We start from the raw sequence: 23,938 nt of genomic DNA on the forward strand, positions 1-23,938 counted from the left end.
TGAATATAAATTCCCTGACATACCTTATACATTCATCATAATAAAGACTTGGTAAGGATCTCCAGAAGTCCCTTCTTGCTTTCTCCTGGGCAATGTTATAAGATAACTGCATCTGTTGTGGATTACTTTTTAGTTTCCAATAAAATTTTAAAAATTGTTTTAATTAGTTATTAAAATGAACTGTGTTTTTTAATTCCAAGAAAGCTGAGTCATTGGTTAAGCACCCTAAAAATCCCAAGAAAATGAACAATGTTGAATGACAAATGTAGTGGATAGCATGGAGCATCCTTTCTTTCTACAGATTTTTTTTTTTTTTTTTTTTTTTTTTTGAGACAGAGCCTCACTGTGTCACCCAGGCTGGAGTCCAGTGGCACGATCTTGGCTCACTGCAACCTCCGCATCCCGGGTTCAAGCAATTCTCCAGCCTCAGCCTCCCAAGTAGCTGGGATTACAGGCAAGCACCACCATCCCCAGCTAATTTTTCTATTTTTAGTAGAGATGAGGTTTCCCCATTGGCCAGGCTGGTCTTGAACTGACCTCGTGATCCATCTACCTCGGCCTCCCAAAGTTCTGGGATTACAGGTGTGAGCCACCGCACCTGGCCTGTATGAGCTAATTTCTAAGGTACACTGCAGCTCCAACATTTTGCAATGCTGTGTCTCTATTTTGCTAGCCACTGTTTTCAACTGTTAGCAGGAACAATGCATTTGTGTATTCCTGAGCTAGGTTACTGGAGGGCAGATTTGCTTATAGGGTTTGTTATATGTCCAACAACACATCTCAGAAAGAAATGCAGTTTAGCGGAGGGTGGGGAGTGGGTGTGTGTGTACATCATTGCCAAAGGAAAAAATGGACATTCCAGCTTTTAAGACATTATTAAAATGGGTTATACACTTTGTTTCCCATAATCCTTGAAGATGATGTCTGTATCATCCTTTTCTGAAAACACAGCAGCTAAGTGTGGCACCTGTCAGGTAACAGAGGCTCAGCAAGTGTTTGCTGAATGAAATTGGACAAGCTGTTCAACCTCCCTGAACTTTAGTTTCCTCCTCTCAAAATGGACACAATACAAATCCGCCTTCAGTCAATTGTGGTCAGCTTATACATTTCAGAGAGTAGTATCAATGCTAAGCCCAAGACGTCTTTTACTGCCTGTAAGATGCCCCTCAGAGTCAAGTCGGAACTCTGCCTGAGAGTTCTCAGGCTCTAAGATCAATCCTTTGTGCAGATTTTTAAAAGCCAACAGATAACCACAGAGAGAGGAGCATGTTTTTATGTGGTTGTGAGGAAGGAAGCCCGTCTCAGACACAGGTAATTATAACAGTTACTTCAAATTTTACCTTTCAGCTAATCCCCCTTTAGTGAGGCTTGAAATGATTATAGGATCAAACGGCTCTTCAGTTCCTGAAATTGTGATGCCAAGGGGCCCCCCGTAGCGTTTAAGCTCCACGGTGTAAATAATTGCTCCGGAACTTTCTTGCTCATCTGTAATAAATGCCAAGGAATCATAATTGATTTCTTTGGAAAAAGCAAAAGAGTAAGATGCATAGATTCATACATAAAAGAATTCAAAACATCCTCGTCAAAGTATCATGTCACAGAAAATAATTATTTTGGGAAGTAGCATTTCCTTAGTAGGATCTTACATTCAAATACAGGGATATAATCATTGTCAGTGCCAGGGGAGAGGAACACTGCCTAATGACTTATGTTTTAAATGTGTGAGATCCGCCCAGCTGGGGCTGCAGGACCTTTCAACTGTGTCCATGTCTAGGACAGTGCTTACCTAGCATTTAGTAAGTATGCAGTAAATATCTGTGAAATAAACATATGGCTGAGGAGGCATTATAATATGAGAGGAGAGAGTCACTCAGTAACAAAGAAGACAGACATTGGGTCACGCTGTTTCCGTTTTAAGCTTTACATGCATGCTAACTTTTGATATAGAAAAGTGGATTTTGCGAAGGGTTGGAACAAATAACATATATATGGTTAAGTGGAACTTAGATAAGTAAACTTGAAGACAACAGCAAGAAATCTAGAATCTCTTAGATATCATTCCACTGACTGTCTTCTAATGTGAGTCCTATCAGTGAATTACGGATATTAAAGTGGAGGTTTGAATGATCATCTCTCCTCTTTCAATGGAGTAACAGCTGTTGTAAGCTATGTTTCAACAGCATAGACCAGCCTGCCACACTGTCATAAACTAATTTTGGCTATTCAACATTATTATAGTTGAAGACACTTGTGAATGTGCTCTGCCTAAAGCACTGGCCAGAAAGATATCATGGGCCGCCTTCAACGTGATGGGTATTGTGATGGTGTCAGAGTTGCAAATAAGAAGTCTCAGAATTCAAAGGTTTTATTTGCTTCTGACATGCTTAAAGTTCTTGGGCACTTCTTGTTTTATTCCTTGGGCCTGGGAGCTGTGAATGGTTAAGGAACTGTTTCATTTCTGCAACTAAGGATAAAATGAAATGGTTCAGTGGCTACTTTAGCAAAATAGTCAGCTTTTACAGTCAGACTACATCCTAGTGAAGCATTAACATGGCCACATTTTTGCAGTGAGCAGCTGTTCGTTTACGATATGAAATCCTAAAATAAGGAGGAAAACCAAAGCTTGAGTTAACAATTCAATTATTTGTGTTTGCAGTGAAGAATTATGATGAATATAAAATGAAAGGTCTATCAAGTCATTTGGGAAGCAATGTGTCCTCTCTCGCCAGCACTTACTTCACTTCTGGCCATAGATTGGGAGTTTTGAATGCAGCCATTACCTCCACTTTCTGAGTGCTCTACTCAACGTATTTACTCCACACATTCAGAACTAAAGACCATCCACCACACACTGCAATGCTTAAGTCAACATTTTAGGGCACAAAATCTTCAACATTGGGCTCAAATTTACATTAGCAGCTGAGAAGCTCCCATATCAAGCCTAAAACAGCTCTGTTTGCTGGTTCACAAGTTTCTTCTGGGCTGATGCTGAAGTTGTGGCCAATAGGCTGGTGATGATCTGCTAAGGGCTCCAGAGAGAAACATCAAGATAGAGGGTAACCAAATAATCAGCAGAGGTCAAAAGTCTAAATTTTCCTACAGTACGATATTTTGTCACCTTTCAGAGCTGGCTTTGACCTAAATGAACAGAGTACTATTGGATAGATTACATGTACTTTGCAGCCCTCATCATCAACAATATCCTGGATGAAATTCTGAATGAGTCATTTGATTAGTAGTCCCTGGCACAGTTGAACATTAGTTACTGCTGGACACTCTGTGTGGGCCATTCAGTGGAGGTGTGTATGCCATAGGAAAGACCTTGACCCCTTATTGCTCTCTGCATAAGGCAAGCATGAGCACAAACTTGTCAATGGGTGCCAAGCATTTTGGGTTGGAGCATCTGCTCTTTATGGGTTTTGGGGAGAAGGACAGTTGCCCAGGACCTGGAGACCCAAGAACCAGTGGGAAGTGTCCATTGAAACTGCAGTCAAGATGAAAACAAACACTGGACTATGGAAGGGGAGTTGGGGGTAGTCCCATTCATTGGGAGAAGGGGGGCACCTGGTTCTACTCAGCTCATTCTGCAGAGTGAGTATTCCATGTTATTTTTTGACAATGTAACTTGAGACGCAAAGATGACAAAATAATACCAGAGATGAAGTGAATGGCTTTAGGATAGTCTGTTTCAGGCTGCCTTATTTGGAGACATTTTTTTATTGGCATCTGAGTCCTCACTGACTAGAAGGCAATTGTTAGGTCACCCAATGAGTTTAGATAGTGATGGAGATGCAAATCTGGGAAATGGTACCTCTTAACTAAGAAGGACACATTCCTGTGATTACATTGGGGTGGAAACAGGATGACATGATATTCTATTTAAATTATGACAGAAATGGAAGCTGATTTCTGTTTTCTTTAACAAATAAATTGCCAGAAACACAAAAGAGAAAGGAGATTTGGCCAGGTGCAGTGGCTCACACCTGTAATCCCAGCGCTTTGGGAGGCCAAGGTGGGTGGACCACCTGAGGTCAGGAGTTCAAGACCAGCCTGGCCAACGTGATGAATCCCCGTCTTAACTAAAAATACAAAAATTAGCCAGGCATGGTGCCTCGTGCCTGTAGTCCCAGCTATTTAGAAGGCTGAAGCAGGAGAATCACTTGAACCCAGGAAGTGGAAGTTGCAGTGAGCTGAGATCATGTCACTGCTCTCCAGCCTGGGCGATGGAGCGAGACTCTGTCTCAAAAAAAAAAAAAAAAAAAAAAAAGAGAAAAGGGAGATTTAAGAGACATTACAATCAAAAGCAATGAGTAGATCATTTGGGATTCTAATAAAACCAACTGTTATAAAAAGGTATCTATTGGCCAGGCGCAGTGGCTCACGGCTGTAATCCCAGCACTTTGGGAGGCCAAAGTAGGCGGATCACCTTAGGTCAGGAGTTTGAGATCACACTGGCCAACATGTCCAAAACCCCGTCTCTACTAAAAATACAAAAATTAGCCAAGTGTGGTGGCACGTGCCTGTAGTCCCACCTACTCAGGAGGCTGAGGCAGGAGAATCGCTTAAACCTGGGAGGTGGAGGTTGCAGTGAGCCAAGACTGTGCCACTGCACTCCAGGGTGAGTGACACAGCAAGACACCCTCTAAAAAAAAAAAAAAAGCTATGTGTTTTTCTATCAGATAGATTGCTTTAAAAAAACAGTTGGTTTTAATTAGGATTTTATATATATCAGGGAAATGTGAACATTGAGTGAATATTTTATAAGATTAAAAATATTGCTAATGATGATATTTAGTTATGTGTTTTGAAAGAGTATTTTTTAGGCATACGTTAGTAAAAAGATGGGATGATGCCTGGAATTTCTTCATAACTCCACCGGTGAGGTGGAGAAACCAGACTGAGAGTGGAGATGAAGCAAGGTTGGTTGTAAGCAAATCACTGTTAACACTGGATGATGCATGGTGATTCATTATGCTATTTTTATTTTTGTATATATTTTGAATTTAATAACAAGCCTTTGAAAAAGAAAATAATATCAATTCCCTTAGAAAGCCCTATGTGGATGCCTTGTGTAAACAGATATTTAATTAGTCTGGCTTTCCTTTCATAGACGGTGGTGATGGCTGCCCGCACACAGTCTTTTCCAGACCATATGGCCCGTCTGCCCACAAGACAAGCTCTCCAGGGCATCCCACTGCCACTTGCTCTTGAGAAGGGCCCCACTGTGGCTCTGCCCAGTTTTTCATAGCAATGGCTTCCTCCTAAACAGTTTTCCTGCTTGGGATCCAGCCTTTGCCCCTCCTCCCCACTTCTATTTTCACCAATGCTGCCAACATATAATTTCTTCTCTTTCCTTCCCAGAATATCTTTAAAACATAAATCTGAATATGTTACTCTCTTACTTAAAGCTTTTCATTGGTTCCTCAGTTCTTTAAGAATAAAATACAACCCCTGTGCAAGAGCTGAGCTGGCCCCCAGAGGGTCACGCCATTCTCCCCCATCCCAATCCAATCTGCTAAATTCTCTCTTCATAGAACCACTGCAATTCCTTAAATAGCACTTTTCTAACATCTTTAGCCCTTGCACCTGTTACTCCCTATGCACAAACACCTTTCTCCCATTTGTTATCCTGTAGAATTTCTACTTTTACTTTAAAGCTTGGCTCAGAGTCTCATCCTTCAGAAAGGCTTCCTGGTGGCTTAGCTGGAGGGGCTAGAGGCCTTCCTATGAGACCCACAGCTTCTGTGCATTCTTCTGATGTTTCTAAACTTTTATTTTCATTCTTGCTCTCAAACAAGGAGAAGAGTGAAATTATTTTTAAATTCTCCTTAATGAGAGAAGTTAAATATTAAGGACTAGAATTCCATCAGGTATGATTGAGATTTGGAGGGCCACAAACTATTATAATATAATATCCAAGCTATCACAAGAACCAACTTTTAAGAACCAATTTTTGCCCCCCTTGAGAATGCATGTTCTAGCATATGCCTTTCACTCTATGTTTTAAGGATCTCGCTACTTGGTTCTTCATTAGAATAAGAATACCTTGAAAACAGAGATTTTTAACTCATATCCCCATAACCTAGAACTATGTCTGGTACCAAAGCAAACTCAGTAAATGCTTGAACAAGTGAGCAGAAGGATGAATGAATATTAGCATGTAGTCATTGGTTCCCAGGCTGAGATCTCCAGAAGAGTATTGCGAGTCAGCTTCCCTGCTATGCCAAGGTCTAGTTTCCTTTTCTAAGACATGTGATGCAAACCCAATCTCATTCAAAGTTTGAGAATACAACCTCAGCTGCCATTGTGGGGACAAGCAAACCTAGAACTTCCTCCCTCCACCGTGCCAGGAGCGTTGAGTCAGCTTTAGGGTCAACTGCCAATTCCACCTGCCTTCTCGGGCTTTAACTCAACTGGTGAGGCCCTGCAGCTTAGGAGGAGGGTAATAATTGCCATTTAAGAAGGAATACTCAGACTATTTTGGAGATTGAAGCACTCCTAGATACACTCTCCTTGAGGCTGCTCCAGTGTAGAAGTCTTAGAAAGGAGCAACTAGGGTGTTTAACTAGAAGAGAAACTTCTGAGAAAGAAAAACGTAGAATCACTAGTAAGTTTCAAAGTGAGCCTAAGCAGATGTTAATGATATTATAAACAACTTTTATATCCCAACAGAAGGTTTACAACGATTAGTGAAAGACAGGAAAGGGGGCAAGCCTACTTGTTTGTTCTGCTCAGCTCTAGTTAACAAAATTAATGGAAGCACGGAACAGATGCAAAATTGCTGCATTACTTATCTGCAATGTTATTTTCAGGCTTCTTGAGTGCTGCCTGTTTAACAAAATGAATGCTATCTGGCTTGAATCCATAATGGTAGCTGCTTCTGTGGCCAAATAGGAGGCTTGGATTTGGGAGAGAGCCTTTGGAAGGCGTACATGTGCAGGTCAGTCAAAGTTCACTTCAACTAAAAGTGATGGAATTAATTTTAGAGTACGGCTAAATTTCTTGGAGTCGGACAGGCCTGAGAAAGTAAACCATTTGAACAACACTCTCTACAGCTCCCTTACTGCTGCACGGTCATTTTACATAGATATGTCACAATGATATACCAAGAGATGTCCAAGCAAGTGTTGAGTGTTTCAGAGTAGAATTCAAATTTCTTTGTGTAAGTGATAATTTTAAGTCTCAAAACTAGGTTTGTTTGTGACAGCATTTCTCAAAGTGTAGTTCTAGGACTAGCAGTTTTGGCATCATCTGCAAACTTGTTAAAAATGCAAATTCTCAAGTTTGCATTTGACTGAGAATCCCTACCCCACAGACCAACAGGAATGGGAACTCTGGGAGAGGGGCCTAGTCATCTGTGTTTTAATGTCTTCTGGGTGATTCCGATGTACACTCAAGCTTGAGAGCCGTCCCTTTATGAGATCAAGCATGCAAAAAAGAGAAAAGTACTTTTTATCATAGGTCCTTCTTGCAGCCAGCTTCTTGCCAACACACCTCTTTCCACTGCTCCTAGGACAGCCAAGATCATTCTTGGGAGCTTGGAATGGGGCATCTCTGCTACACCAATACTCCAATCTGGGTTTAGGGGAAAAAGCTACTGCAAATTACTTAGCTTGGCTTAACACTGGTAAACTATAAATATTTGAAGCCCAAAATATGAATCTGTCTTCAAAGGACTAATTTAATCAGTAATAAGGCTGTATAAAGGTTATTTGTTTTGAATAGGACAAGCTGCAGCCTGAAAATGGTTTTTTTTAAACACAGATTACAGCCCATGAAGGTAAAGTATTGATTTATGGTCTCCAAAAATATGCTATATATTAGAGTAATATTCCCCAAACCAAGCGAGAAATCATTAATAGCTGTATATTTGATTGACAAAAAGGTGGTAATACAAAGCCGACTTTTGAAAACTATATGTGATAGATTTGCAAACCTCTATCTCTTCCTACAAATCCCCAAAAGTCTCTACTGCTTTGCTTCAGGGTTTCCTCTCAGGCCCTAGCCAGGTCTTCCAACTCTCTTCATTTACTTTGGACTCAGAAACCATCAAGGCAAAACAATAGATTTTTTTCAAGAGGATTATTTGCATTGCTGATTGGGTATTGGGGATTGGGTAGCAGCCTCAGGAATCCCAGAGCCTTGGACCCACACAAGAACCACTGGACACTACCTGAGTTACATTCCTTCAGTAATGGAAGACGACAAATGCAGAAGCTCCTGAAGGCAGGAGGGTGGCTGAATTCAGAGTGAGGGAGGAAAACGCCTACAACCCCAAGTGTTCCAAAAGATTTGGCCATTGTTAAATAAAGCTGAAATTCACTTTTAAAATATCCAAATACAGTAATGACCACTGATAGTCAACATTCATTGGGCCTCACTAGGTGCAAACTTATTGGTGAGTTATTAAATATATTACCTCCTTTAGGCCAGGTGCGATGGCTCACACCTGTAAATCCCAGCACTTTGGGAGGCCAAGGCAGGCAGCTCACCTGAGGTCAGGAGTTCGAGACTAGCCTGCCCAACATGGCAAAACTCCATCTCTACTAAAAATACAAAAAATTAGCTGGGCATGGTGGTGGACACCTGTAATCCCAGCTACTTGGGAGGCTGAGGCAGGAGAATCAGTTGAACCTGGAAGGCGGAGGTTGCAGTGAGCCGAGATTGTGCCATTGCACTCCAGCCTGGGCGACAAGAGCAAAATTCCGTCTCAAAAAAAAAAATATGTGTGTATATATATATACACACACACACACACACACACACACACACACACACACACACACACATATATCTCCTCCTTTAATCCTTAAAACAGCCATGTAAAGTAAGCATTAAATGGACATTTACAGATGAGGAAACTGATGCTCAGAGAAGTTAATTTGCCTAAATTTCCCAGATTGTCAGTTGTGAAGCCAGTCTGGCATTCTTAGTCTTTCATTCTACTGTTTCCCCCAGCTTGGGCTAGAAACAGAGTTAATTCAGACTCTCTTGAATGGCTCATTCAGCGCTTTCATCAAGTGATTAAAATTAATGGTCACTAACCAAGTCCAGTGGGCCTCATTCCTGTTTTAAGTCCTCTAATGGCCCCCCATTGGTTTCTGGGATAAAATTCAAATTTCTTAACATGATTTACAAGGCCCATAATGACTTGGCTCCAGTATACCTTTCTAGCTTACCTACTACCAAGTCCTTGCACACGTTATGCTTGAGCCATATCTGCCTACTAGAGTGTGCCATGCTCTCCCTAACTTTCTGCACCACTTCACAAATCCCTTCGAGACCAAGGTTGTTAGAATCTTTTCCTTGAGGTCCTCAGGCTGAAATGGATGCCTTCACATTCTCTTACCATTGTGGAATATTTTGTGCATATCCTTATGACATTCATCATATTGTTAATTATTGATTTTCTTGTTTCTCCTATTTGGTGGTAACTGATTTAAGGGCAGGATTGTGTCCCTTTTATCTAAGAACTGGTAGTCCATGGCACATTGCCTGATACTTCATAGACAATAAACGAATGCTGATGGCATGACTGAAAATCGAGGGCTTTAGCAGCATTTGGGAATAGTTCTACCATCTCCTTGGGTAAGGTACACAGCAGGGTAGCGAGACTTGGGAAGCTGGAAGAAATGCTTACATTTTGAAGTAGTATCTGTTAAACCCCAATTGCAGTACAAGCTAGCTTAGGAAACCAAGTTCCATCAAGTATAGTTATAAACTTCCTGTGACCAGAGAGAGAATCATCACTGAAGGATGGAGAGCAGCCAGCAGTTAAAGGACTGGAAAACTCCTGCAGTGCAGAGGGCCCACATTAGTATGAGCAATATTTCTGGGGGTGGAGAATATACGCTGAATATTACCATTCAAAAATATTGAGACGAAGCATGACAACTATTTAATGTGATAGTTCTAATCACCAGCATAATTTCAGATTAAGCATTATATCAAACTTTCAAAATCAGTGACTGTCCAAAGGGTAAATGCTTATTTTCCACTCAGTCATATCTTGATCAAGGATCAGAACGAATGCAGAGAAAGGGATTTCAGGAGGTAATTAGAATACAGATAGTCCCCACTTATTGAGTGGAGCATGGACTGTGCCAGTATTTCCTTCAGTAAGCTACAAGAGCTCCCTGAGATGGGTACTATTATGTAGACATTACTGAAAATGGGACCAAATCTCAGACAAGTTTACCAAGTTGCCCAAACTCTCACAGCTCAAATGTGGTAGAGCTGAACTTTAAACTGAGGTCTGATTTTTTTTTTTAATTTATTTCAATAGCTTTAAGGGTACAAGTGATTTTTCATTACCTGGATGAATTGTGTAGTGGTGAAGCCTGAGATTTTTGTGCACCCATCACCCAAGTGGTGTACACGGTACCCAATATGTAGTTGTTGTTGTCCCTCATCCCCCGTCTACCCTCTCTTCTTCTGAGTTCTTATATCATGTCTGGTTTTAAAACATTTGCTCTTTGTGAAGATTTAGTTTGCCTTTAAATAATCTGTGGTCAGGCTTTACATTTTGAATAATGTTTTTTTTTCCTCCCTTACTTTGCTCTGAATAAAAATGAATTCAGATACTCAAATTATATTTATGATGTTATGAGGGAAGAGGATACTAGGATCATATAAATTCTTCCAAATCAATAACTGAATAATTTTCAAAGAGTGATCTTTTATAAAACCATGTCTGAATGAGTATATATTTCTGTATATCAATATGAGAAAATCTGGTTTGGGTAAGCATATCTCTCATGCCAATATTTATAGTCTTATTTTGGGTGGTTGTATGTTTTTCAATGGAAGGTTTAGGATTTTAAAAACAGAGCCTCTTAAAATTAAAACATATTTAATAAGCACAATAACCATCATAATAGTATACATAGAGATTGTAGGGGAAGGGTATAAAGGGGGAAAATGAGGCAAAGGAAATCAGTAACTGAAAATAAGATCTAGCTCTCCAAGTGCTCAGTTGTTTCAGAAACTCCTGCCAACTGGTAGACACAGCCTGGCTTTGAAACTGGGTGCATTGCCAGCTGTGCACACTATACATATTCATCTCTGGCTTGGCTTTTTCACTTTGCAAGGAAGGTAGCTGACATCTGCTGAGCAGGGCAAATCATGCAAAACAGGTTTCTCCACAGGGCTTTGCCTCTTCACTAGGACAGAACCCAGGCTGATGCTAAAGGCTTCCTCTCTATTTTGAAATCAATCCCCAAAAGAAAGTGCAACTGAAGCAGGCTTGTAAGGAGAGAAATGCAAATGTTGGCACAGAAAATCAGTTGCTTAAGAAATAATGAGTGCAAACCTGTGCATATTTTTAAACATTGGTTATAAAATATATTTGGATATAATCATTATTATCAATTGTACTGATGGATGCAACTATAGATTTTTTTTTACTTGGAAAAGGAATCATAAACACATAGCCTGACATAACCGTGAACTCTAGATCTAGATGACCTGATTAACAAAATCCCAGAACATTGCCACAACTTCATTATTGGTTGCAATGAAATTATATACAGTAGACGTTCTCTTAACCAATCTCCACTTAACCAATTTACTGAATTAATTGTGGCTGTTCGTCTTCCACCATAAAATGTACAGACCAATGCCATGGCATGCTCCAGAGCAATAGGTTTCTTTATGTTGCCCCTCTGGGCTTCTGCTCCTGCTCCTGCTTGAGTTGTAAACTTCAAAATCTAGAGGCAATTATATTTATTCCTAAACCCGTTTATGCCAGCTGTACTTGTTATTTTAACTATGTAATTTAATTAATCTTATATAACCTATGAAATATGAATGTAGTTGTTCTATGAAAACAAAATCCAATGGTTTGGAAAGATTCAATAAGGGTTCGTTAGGCAAAAATCTATGGCCAGGCGCAGTGGCTCACACCTGTAATCCCAGCACTTTGGGAGGCCGAGGTGGGCAGATCACTTGAGGTCAGGAGTTTGAGACCAGCCTGGCCAACATGGCAAAACTCCATCTCTACTAAAAATACAACAATTAGCCAGGAAAGGTGACACACACCAGTAGTTCCAGCTACTCAGGAGGCTGAGGCACAAGAATTGCTTGAACCTGGGAGGTGGAGGTTGCAGTGAGCAGAGTTGGCGCCACTGCACTCCATGGCACACTCCAGCCTGGGTGTGCCACACAAAACAAGAAACAAACAAACAAAACATCTACTGTTAATTACCTAATGGAAAAACTCTACAACATTGGGGAAAACCAAAATCTAGGTGGAGGAAGAATTCAGATTGCTATAAATTCTTTAAAGTCTCACTGCATTAAAAACCAAACCAAACCAAAATAAAACTGGAAATCATAAAATATATATTGTGGATACGGTTTAGGCAAACAAACAAAAAGACTTGTAAGTATAATCAGCAGAACCATATTAATAGGAAAGGCCTTGACTTTACCCACGAGATTGGCAAAATTGTAAATTAAACGTTTACTTTATGGATCCATATCACATTCTGTAATTCCCCACATTAGCTGACTCTTTTGGTGAATGGACACTTTTCAATTGGCTCTATATTCTTATCATAATCAGATAAGATGTCTCTTATTTCAGGGCTACCCAAAGTGTGCTCCTTGCACCACAGCTGTGGCAGCATCTGGGTGTTTATTAGGAATCCAGAATCTCAGGTCCCACCTGGGGTGGTGCCAGGATCTGTGTTTTAACAAGCTCTTCAGATATGATTCTATGCCCTCCTAAGTTTGATTGGAGGGCCTAAAAAATGTGTATAGCCCTTTTGAAAAGCAACATGGGGCATGACTGACTCATCAGGAATCATAGACATTTCCTTTGTATTCTTACTCAGCCATCCTGCTTCTAGGAATATTTTCTTATTTCAAAAGAAAAAAAAAGCTGGATAAAGATATCTATGCATAAAGATGTCTATAAGAGTACTATTTACAATAATGAAACAATTGGAAGCAATATAGTGATTTAAGAAGAGAAGAAAGGTAAATCACAGGCAGTCAATAAAAATGATAGATATTAAGAGTTTATAAAACGATCAAATGTTTACAATGTAAAATTAGGTAAAAAAATGCAACATTCACTTGGTTATAGTTATGCCATATGAATACCAATAAAAACTAGAAAACTACCAGTTTCACTGTATTAGATGATGATTTAGATTTCATCTTTAAAAATTATTTTCATGCAATTATAATATGTTTTCTATAATGAAAATATCTTAATGATATCATTTACAAGCACCATTATTTAAAATTTGTACTACACTCTCAGCACAAAATTTAAAGACTCTTTTAGCTGTGAAACACTGCTGCCACATCACTAGCCAGCTGTTGTATGTAAAACATCAAGATCTAATATCTTTGGTGACAGATGGGCAGTTCGAAAAATCAGTTTTAACTAAGGATGCTCTCAATACCTGAATTATCTTCATCTTTGCGGATTTTGAGCTTCACCAGGTCTTCACATTGCTGGAGGATCTGAACTGCATCTTCCATGGAACAGTTGTCCAGCCGGATATTATCTATTGCGAGCAATTTATCCCCAAGTTCCAGGGTCCCAGTTCTGTTAGTGAATGCAAAGTAACACATGACTAATGATGAGCACTTAACTAGGCCATTTAAAGAGGCATTAAGCATAATGCAGCATTATGGTAGTCTTTAGAGGAAAAGAGGTTCAACTGTTTTTAAATTGTACTTCATTGACAACTCCCTCCCTTCTTCTAGTCTTATTTGGGTTGCCTGCCATGATATTAAATTGCAGAGTATTAAAAACATTTTTTCTTATACTTTTTTCAATTAAACAAGAACATATGTGTCACTCAGGAAGCATACAATTCCTAGGAAGGGAGGTAATGGGCGAGGGTCTGCATAGACCCAGGTATCCTTGTCTTTCTCCATATTGTTGTATTACTTTTGATCCTTGGTAGTCCAGATACTAGGAGAGCATTAAGAGAATGACAGAAGGCAAGGTGTAATAGAGTTAGTGGAAGCCTAAGGCTTGCACCTCTGCTACTTCCACTTGCATCTGGAAACTCACTATGGCCAGAGTAGCATGAAAATTTATAGATGAATCCATAGCTTCTTATTTGGAAAGTGGCCACTGAGACTCTAAAACTGGCTGTGGACCAGGGTAGGTCTGTTGAAAAAAATTTTAAGGTCCATAATGAAACAACAAAAAAAATAATGTGAATGTAGTATGTATATGTTTCTATGTGTGTATATGTATATATACACAGATTTGTAAGAACAGCCTTTTATGCATTATATCTGTGCCAGAGACTGCTAATTGTCTCCCAGCATCCATTCTCCCTTCCCTTCTTTTAAGTTACCCTCTAAAAATGCATGCCCCAGACTCTCTGGGGACCCTCCCCACCTCCTGCCTGTAGCTAGAAAATGGTAACAGGAGGGAGGCGGAGCAAGGTGGCTGAATAAAAGCCTCCACTGATCATCCTCCTTGCAGGAACACCAAATTTAACAACTATCCATACAGAAAAGCACCTTTATAAGAACCAAAAATCAGATGAGCAATCACAGTACCTGGTTTTAACTTCATATCATTGAAAGAGGCACTGAAGAGGGTAGGAAAGAAAGTCTTGAACTGATGATGCCGGCCCCTCCCCCATTCCTTCTGCAGCAGCCACATGGCATGGAGAGAAAAACTGTGCACTTGTGGGAGGGAGAACACAGTGAGGGAGAGACTGCATTGAAACTCAGTGCTACCCTGTCACAGCGGAAAGCAACACTGGGCAGAAGTCAGCTGATATCCACGGAGGGAACATTTAGATCAGCCCTAGGCAGAGGGGAATCACCCATTCCGGTGGTCAGAACTTGAGTTCCAACACGCCTCACTGCTGCACGCTAAAGTGTTCTTGGGTACTAAATAAACTCAAGACAGTTTAAAGCCACAAAGACAGCAATTCCTGGACAAGCCCTGATGCTGTGCTGAGCTCAGAGCCAGTAGACTTGGGGGGCATGTGACCTAGTGAGAAACCAGCTGGGGTGGCTAAGTGAGTGCTTGCAACACCCCTCCCCTAGCCCTACACAGCACAGCTCACAACTCCCAGAGAGAGTCCTTCACTCTAACTGAGTAGAGAAGAGGGGAGAGTAAAGAAGACTTTGTCTTGCAACTTGGATATCAGCTCAGCCATAGTACGACAGGGCACCGGGCAGAGTCCTAAGGCCCCTTTTCTAGGTCTTTGCCCCGGGATAACATTTCTAGACACACCCAGGGCTGCAAGGGAACCTGCTGCCTTGAAGGGAAGGACCCAGTCCTGGCAGCATTTTTCACCTGCTGACTAAATATCCCTCGGGCCCTGAATAATCAGCAGCATGGCTGGGCGCGGTGGCTCATGCCTGTAATCCCAGCACTTTGGGAGGCCGAGGTGGGTGGATCACTTGAGACCAGGAGTTCAAGACCATCCTGGCCAGCATGGTGAAACTCGGTCTGTACTAAAAATACAAAAGTTAGCCAGGCGTGGTGGTGCACGCCTGTAATCCCAGCTATTCGGGAGGCTGAGGCAGGAGAATCACTTGAACCTGGGAGGTGCAGGTTGCAGTGAGCCGATTGCACCACTGCACTCCAGCCTGGGCAACAGAATGAGACTCTGTCTCAAAAAATAAATAAAATTAAATATAATAAAAAAATAAAATCAGCAGCAGTAGTCAGGTAGTACTTGCTGTGGGCCTTAGGTGAGACTCTGAGTTGTGCTGGCTTCAGGTGTGACCCAGCACATTCCCAGCTGTGGTGGCTATGGGGAGAGGCTGTTTCTGCTTGAGAAAAGCAGAGGAATAGTAAAAAGGACTTTATCTTGAAGCTTAGGTACCAGCTCTGCAACAGTAGGGTAGAGTACCAAGTGGGCTCTTGGGTTCCCTGATTCTAGGCCTTAGCTCTTGGACGTTTGTGGACCTGCTCTGGGACAGAGGGGAGCCCATCGCCTTGAAAGAAGAGTCCCGGCCCTGGCAGCATTCGCCACAAGCTGACTGAAGAGCCTTTGGGTCTTGAGTGAACATCAGCAATAGCCAGGCAGTACTTGCCATGGGCCTGGAGCAGTGGTGGCCAGGGGGAGAGACTTCTCTCCTTGAGGAAAGGATGGGAAGGACTTTGTCTTGTGTCTTGGGTGCCAGCTCAGCTATAGTAGAATAGAGCACCAGGTAGATTCCTAAGGTTTTTGACTCTAGGACCAGGCTCCTAGATGGCATCTTTAGACCTGCAAGGGGCCAGGGGGAGCTCACTGCCCTGAAAAGAAGGATACTACCCTGGCTGGCTTTGCCACCTGCTGATTGTAGAGCCTTTGGTCCTTGAGTGAACATGGCCTAGTGGTAGCCAGTAAGGGTTTACTGGCAGCCATAGTTGAGACCTAGTACCACGTTGGCTTCAGGTCTGAACCAGCATAGTCTCAGTGGTGGTGACCAAGGGGTGCTTGTGTCACCCCACCACCCCTCAGCTTCAGGCAGCTCAGCACTGAGAGAGAGACTATATCTGTTTGGAAGAAAAGGAAGAGAACAAGAGTCTCTGCCTAGTAATCCAGATGATTCTTCTGGATCTTACCCAAGACCACCAAGGCAGTATTTTTGAGTCTGCAAGAGCCATAGTGTTACTGGACTTGGGGTGCCCCCTAATGGAGATACAGGTGAAGTGACCAAAAACTTAGATCACAACACCCAAGCCCCTTCGAATACTTAGAAAGCCTTCCCAAGAAGGACAGGTACAAACAAGCCCAGACTGCAAAGACTATAATAAATACTTAACAATTCAATTCTCAGACACCAATGAACATCCATGAGCATCAAGACCATCTGAGAAAACACGACCTCACCAAGTGAACTAAATAAGGCACGAAAGACCAATCACAGAGAAATAGAGATGTATGGCCTTTCATACAGAGAATTCTAAATTACTGTTTTGAGTAAACAATAAAGTTTTGAGTGTGTGATAATACAGATCATAAATTCAGAATCCTATCAGATAAATTCAACAAAGAGATTAAAATAATTTTAAAAAATCCAGCAGAAATTCTGGAGTTGAAAAATGCAATTGACACACTAAAAAAATGCATCAGAGTCTCTTAACAACAGAATTGATGAAGCAGAAGAGATAATTAGTGGCCGGGCGCGGTGGCTCACGCCTGTAATCCCAGCACTTTGGGAGGCCGAGGCGGGCGGATCACGAGGTCAGGAGATCGAGACCATCCCGGCTAAAACGGTGAAACCCCGTCTCTACTAAAAATACAAAAAATTAGCCGGGCGTAGTGGCGGGCGCCTGTAGTCCCAGCTACTTGGGAGGCTGAGGCAGGAGAATGGCGTGAACCCGGGAGGCGGAGCTTGCAGTGAGCCGAGATCCCGCCACTGCACTCCCGCCTGGGCGACAGAGCGAGACTCCGTCTCAAAAAAAAAAAAAAAAAAAAAAGAAGAGATAATTAGTAAGCTTGGAGACAGGACATTTGAAAATACACAGCCAGAGAAGATGAAAGAAAAAAAAAAGCTGGGCCAGGCATGGTGGCTCACGCCTATAATCCCAGCACTTTGGGAGGCCGAGGTGGGCAGATCACCTGAGGTCAGGAGTTCGAGACAAGCCTGGCCAACATGGTGAAAGCCCGTCTCTACTAAAAATACAAAAAAAAAAAAAAAAATAGCTGGGCATGGTGGTGTGCAGCTGTAATCCCAGCCACTTGGGAGGCTGAGGCAGGAGAATCGCTTGAACCCAGGAGGCAGAGGTTACAGTGGGCCGAGATTGCACCACATCACTCAGCCTGGGCATCAGAGTGAGACTCTGTCTCAAAACAAACAAACAAACAAACAAACAAACAGACAAACAATGAAGCACACCTACAAGATCTAAAAAATAGCCTCAAAAGGCCAAATCTAAGAGTTATCGGCCTTAAAGACGAGGTAGAGAGAGGGATGGGGTAGAAATTTTATTCAAAGGGATAATAACAGAGAACTTCCCAAACATAGAGAAAGATATCAATATTCAAGTACAAGAACCTTATAGACCACCTGCAGGAATTTCAGCAACTACAAATGCAAAATAACTGAAATCATAACAGTCTCTCAAGACCACAGCACAATCAAATTAAACCCAAGATTAAGAAATTCACTCTAAGCCAGGGTTTTATGAATAGAACTCTGATCTTCTTGGGATGGAGCCCCTTGCAGGAGGGGAAGCCATGGTCTCTCTTGTTCAGTTGACTTAGCCTTTCCTGCCTGCTGGCTCTGGAGGGTCTGGGTGGTCTGGATGAGGGTGGTTCCCCAAATCACAGTGCACCTGCTCTGTCAAGCGGCAGCCAGACTGCTTTTTTAAGCGGGTCCCTGATACCGTTCCTCCTGACTGGGTGTGACCTCCCAACAGGGGTCTCCAGGTCTCCAGATCGGCATCAGGTCAGTGCCCCTCTGGGACAGAGCTCCCAGAGGAAGGAGAAGGCTCCCATCTTTGCTGTTTTGTAGCCTTTGCTGTCACAGGAGGGATCCAGGCTTGGGGTCTGGAGTAGACCCCCAGCAAACCACAACGGCACTACAGAAGGGGGCCTGACTGTTAAAAGAAAAACAAATAAGCAGAAAGCAACAACGGTAACATCATTAACGAAAAGACCCCACAAAAACTCCATTCACAGATCAGCAACCTCAAAGATTGAGGGTAGATAAGTTCACAAAGATGAGAAAGAATCAACTTAAAACTGCTGAAAACTCAAAAAGCCAGAGTGCTTCTTCTCTTCCAAATAACTGCGACACTTCTTCAGCAAGGGCACAGAACTGGGCTGAAGCTGAGATGACTGAATTGGCAGAAGTAGGCTTCAAAAGGTGGGTAATAATGAACTTCACTGAACTAAAGGAGCATGTTCTAACCCAATTCAAATAAGCTAAGAATCATAATAAAACATTACAGGAGCTGATGACCAGAATAGCCAGTTTAGTGACAAACATAAATGACCTTATGGAGCTGAAAAACACAACATGATAACTTCACAACGCAATCACAAGTGTCCATAGCCAAATAGACTAAGTGGAACAAAGAATCTCAGAGTTGAAGACTATCTTTCTAAAATAAGACAGGCAGACAAGAATAGAGAAAAGAGAATAAAAAGGAATAAACAAAACCTCCAAAAATATGGGATTATGTAAAAAGACCAAATCTATGACTGATTGGGGTACCTGAAGGAGAAGGGGAGAACAGAACTAAGTTGGAAAATGTACTTCAGGATATAATCCAGGAGAACTTCCCTAGCCTAGCAAGACAGGCCAACATTCAAATTTAGGAAATCCAGAGAACCTCAATAAGATACTACAGGAGAAGATCAACCCCAAGACACATAATCGTTGGATTCTCCAAGGTCGAAATGAAAGAAAAAAATGTTAAGCATAGCCAGAAAGAAAAGCCAGGACGCCTACAAAGGGAAGTCCATCAGACCAACAGCAGACCTCTCAGCAGAAACTCTACAAGCCAGAAGAGTTTGGGGGCCAATATTCAACATTCTTAAAGAAAATAATTTCCAACCCAGAATTTCATATCTGGCCAAACTAAACTTCATAAGCAAAGGAGAAATAAGATCCTTTTCGGACATATAAATGCTGAGGGAATTCATCACTATCAGGCCTACCTTGCAAGAGCTCTTAAAAGAAGAGCTAAATATGGAAAGGAAAAACCATTACCAGCTGCTACAAAAACACACTGAAATGCACAGACCAGTGACACTATGAAGCAACCACATAAACAAGTTTGCAAAATAACCAACTAGCATCATGATGACATGATCAAATTAACACATATCAACACTAAACTTAAATGTAAACAGGATAAATGCCCCAGTTAAAAGACACAGAATGGCAAACTGGATAAAGAGAGAGCCAAGACCTATTGGTATGCTGTCTTCAAGAGACCTATCTCACATGCAGTGACACACATAGGCTCAAAATAAAGTGATGGAGTAAAATTTACCAAGCAATGAAAAACTGACAAAAGCAGAGCCTGCACTCCTAATTTCTGACAAAAGATACTTTAAACCAACAAAGATAGAAAAAAAATGTTAAATTCAACAAGAAGAGCTAAGTATCCTAAATATATATGCCCCTAATACAGGAGCACCCAGATTCATAAAGCAAGTTCTTAGAGACCTATGAAGAAACTTATACTCCCACACAGTGACAGTGGGATATTGTAACACCCCGCTGACAATATTAGACAGATCATCGAGACAGAAAATAAACAAAGATATTCAGGACTCGAACTCAGCTCTGGATCAAGTGGACCTGACAGATATCTACAGAACTCTCCACCCCAAAACGACAGAATATACATTCTTCTCATTGCCACATGACACTTACTCTAAAATTGATCACATAATTGGAAGTAAAACATTCCTCAGCAAATGCAAAATAACTGAAATCATAACAGTCTCTCAGACCACAGCACAATCAAATTAAACTCAAGATTAAGAAATTCACTCTAAACCACACTACTACTTGGAAATTGAACAGCCTGCCCCTGAGTGAACCTTGGGTGAATAATAAAATTAAGGCAGAAATCAAGAAGTTCTTTGAAACTAATGAGAACAAAGAGACCAACAACCAGTTCTGAAATTGAGACAGTAATAAATAGGCTACCAACCAAAAAAATCCCAGGACCACATGGATTTACAGCTGAATTCTAACAGAGGTACAAAGATGAGCTGGTACTATTTCTTCTGAAACTATTCCAAACAATTGAAAAGGTGGGACTTCTCCCTAACTCATTTTATGAGGCTAGTATCATCCTGATACCAAAACCTGGGAGAGATATACAACAGCAAGTAAAAACTTCAGGCTCATATTCTTGATAAACATGGATGCAAAAATCCTCAATAAAATACTGGCAAACTGAATCCAGCAGCACTTTAAAAAGTTTATCCACCACGATCAAGTTGGCTTCATCCCTGGGATGCAAGGTTGGTTCAACATACACAAAACAATAAATGTGATTCATTATATAAACAGAACTAAAGACAAAAACCACATAATTACCTCAATAGATGCAGAAATGGCCTTCAATAATATTCACCATCCCTTCATTTAAAAACTCTCAATAATCTCGGTATTGAAGGAACATAACTCAAAATAGTGAAAGCCACATAGGACAAACCCATAGCCAATATCATACCGAATGGGCAAAAGCTGGAAGCATTCACCTTGAAAACTAGCACAAGACAAGGATGCCCTCTCATCACTCCTATTTAACATAGTATATTGGAAGTTCTGACCAGGGCAATCAGGCAAGAGAAAAAAATAAAGGGTATTCAAATCAGAAGAGAAGAAGTCAAATTGTCTTTGCAGATGACATGATCCTATATCTAGAAAACCGCATCATCTCAGCCCAAAAGCTTCTTAAGCTAATAAGCAACTTCAGCAAAGTCTCCACATACAAAATCACTGTGCAGAAATCACTAACATTCTTATACACCAACAATAGGCAAGCAGAGAGCCAAATAATCAAAGAACTCCCATTCACAATTGCTACAAAGAGAATAAAATACCTAGGAATATAGCTAATAAAGGAAGTGAAGGACCTCTTCATGGAGAACTACAAACCACTGCTCAAACAAATCAGAGAGGACACAAACAAATGGAAACACATTCCATGCTCATGGATAGAAAAAATCAATATCATGAAAATGACCATACTGCCCAAAGTAATTTATAGATTCAATACCATGCCCATTAAACTACCATTGACATTCTTTGCAGAATTAGAAAAAAACTACTTTAAAATTCATATGGAATAAAAAAAGAGCCTGTATAGCCAAACCAATCCTAAGCTAAAAGAACAAAGCTGGAGGTATCATGCTACCCAACTTCAAACTATACTACAAGGCTACAGTAACCAAAACAGCACGGTACTGGTACAAAAGCAGACATATAGACCAAAGGAACAGATTAGAGAACTCAGAAATAAGACCACACACCCATAACCATCTGATCATCAAGAAACCTGACAAAAACAAGCAATGGGAAAAGGATTCCCAATTTAATACATGGCACTGGGAGAACTGGCTAATCGTATGCAGAAAATTAAAACTGGACCCCTTCCTTACACCTTATATAAAATAAAATAAAATAAAATAAAATAAAATAAAATAAAATAAAATAAAATAAAATGGATTAAAGACTTAAATGTAAATCCCAAAATTATAAAAACCCTAGAAGAAAATCTAGACAATACCATTCAGGACATAGGCACAGGCAAAGATTTCATGACGAAAATGCCAAAGGAAAATGGCAACAAAAGAAACTTTGATAAATGGGATATAATTAAACTAAAGAGCTTATGCACAGCAAAAGAAACTATCATCAGAGTGAACAGACAACATACAGAATGGCAGGAAATTTTCACAATCTATCCATCTGATAAAGGTCTGATATCCAAAGTCTACAAAGAACTTCACTTCTCAAAAAAAGATATTCATGCAGCCAGCAAACATGAGAAAAAGCTCGTCATCACTGATCATTAGAGAAATACAAATTGAAATCATAATGAGATATCATCTGATGCCAGTCAGGATGGCAATTACGAAAAAGTCAAGCAACAACAGATGCCGGTGAGGTTGCAGAGAAAAAGGAATGCTTTTACATGGTTGGTGGGAATGTAAATTAGTTCAACCATTATGAAAGACAGTGTGGCGATTCCTCAAAGATATAGAAGCAGAAATACCATTTGACCCAGCAATCCCATTACTGGATATATACCCAAAGGAATGTAAATTATTCTATTATAAAGATATATGCACGCTTATGTCCACTGCAGCACTATTCACAATAGCAAATACATGGGATCAACCCAAATGCCCATTAATGATAGACTGGATAAAGAAAATGTGATATATATACACACAGAATACTATGCAGCCATAAAAAGGAATGAGATCATGTCCTTTGCAGGTACATGGATAGACCTGGAAGGCTTTATCCTCAGCAAACTAACACAGAAACAGAAAACCAAACACTGCATGTTGTCACTTATAAGTGGGAGCTGAACGATGAGGACACATGGACACATTGGAAACAACAACATACACTGGGGCCTGTCATGGGTGAGGTGATGGGAGGGAGACCATCAGGAAGAATAGCTAATGGAGACTGGGCTTAATACCTAGATGATAGGTTGATCTGTGCAGCAAACCATGGCACACATTTACCTATGTAACAAACCTGCACATCCTGCACATGTACCCTGGAACTTAAAATAAAATTTGAAGAAAAAAAAAACACGACGAATTTTGTAAACTATGCAGACACATGGAAATGAAACAACCTGCTTCTGAGTGACCTGTGGGCCAATGAAGAAATTAATAAGAAAATTAAAAAATTTCGTGAAACAAATGATAATGGAAACACAACACACTAAAGCCAATGAGATACAGCAAAAGCAGCACTAAGCAGGAAATTTTTAGCTATAAGTGCCTACATCAAAAAAGAACAAAGACTTCAAATAAATAACCTAACAATGCATCTTAAAGAATCAGAAAAGCAAGAGCAAACTGAACCCAAGATTAGTGGTAGAAAATAAATAATAAAGATCAGAGCAAAAACAAATGAATTTGAAATGAAGAAAACAATGCAAAGATCAATGAAACAAAATGTTTTTAAAAAGGTGAGCAAAATGGACAAAGCTTTAGCAAGACTAATAACAAAAATAAAAAAAGGAGAAGACCCAACTAAATAAAGTCAGAGATGAAAAAGGAGACATTATAACTGATATCACAGAAATTCAAAGGATCATTAGTGGCTCCTATGAGCAACTATATGCCAATAAATTAGAAAAGCTAGAGGAAATGGGTAAATTCCTAGACTCATACAATGTACTAACATTGAACTATGATGAAATTCAAAACCTGAACAGACCAATAATAAGTAACATGATTGAAGTCATAATAAAAAGTCTCCAAGTAAGGCAAAACCTGGGACCCAAAGGCTT

General features: G+C 40.6%; 1 protein-coding gene across 22 annotated transcripts in view, besides 1 other annotated feature; it reads right to left on the bottom strand.

Moving 5' to 3' along the window:
* Positions 1-23,938, bottom strand: part of GRIP1 (glutamate receptor interacting protein 1) — a 721,908-nt gene that overhangs the window by 45,437 nt on the left and 652,533 nt on the right. For all 22 annotated transcript variants that reach the window (XM_047428622.1, XM_005268757.5, NM_001379351.1 and 19 more), the window contains 2 exons: positions 13,416-13,561; positions 1,341-1,485 (listed from right to left, as the gene is read on the bottom strand). In XM_047428622.1, coding sequence (XP_047284578.1) covers positions 1,341-1,485; positions 13,416-13,561 — 291 coding nt within the window. The remainder of the gene's footprint in view (positions 1-1,340; positions 1,486-13,415; positions 13,562-23,938) is intronic.
* Positions 14,958-15,458: an enhancer, noted in NCBI's record as "H3K27ac hESC enhancer chr12:66801605-66802105 (GRCh37/hg19 assembly coordinates)". NCBI's record gives its function as "activates a minimal SCP1, AML or CMV promoter by ChIP-STARR-seq in primed H9 embryonic stem cells {active_cell/tissue: H9 hESC(primed)}" and the evidence as "EXISTENCE:reporter gene assay evidence [ECO:0000049][PMID:30033119]".

The sequence above is a fragment of the Homo sapiens genome, chromosome 12 (genome assembly GCF_000001405.40).
Source record: "Homo sapiens chromosome 12, GRCh38.p14 Primary Assembly".
NCBI lineage: Eukaryota > Metazoa > Chordata > Mammalia > Primates > Hominidae > Homo > Homo sapiens.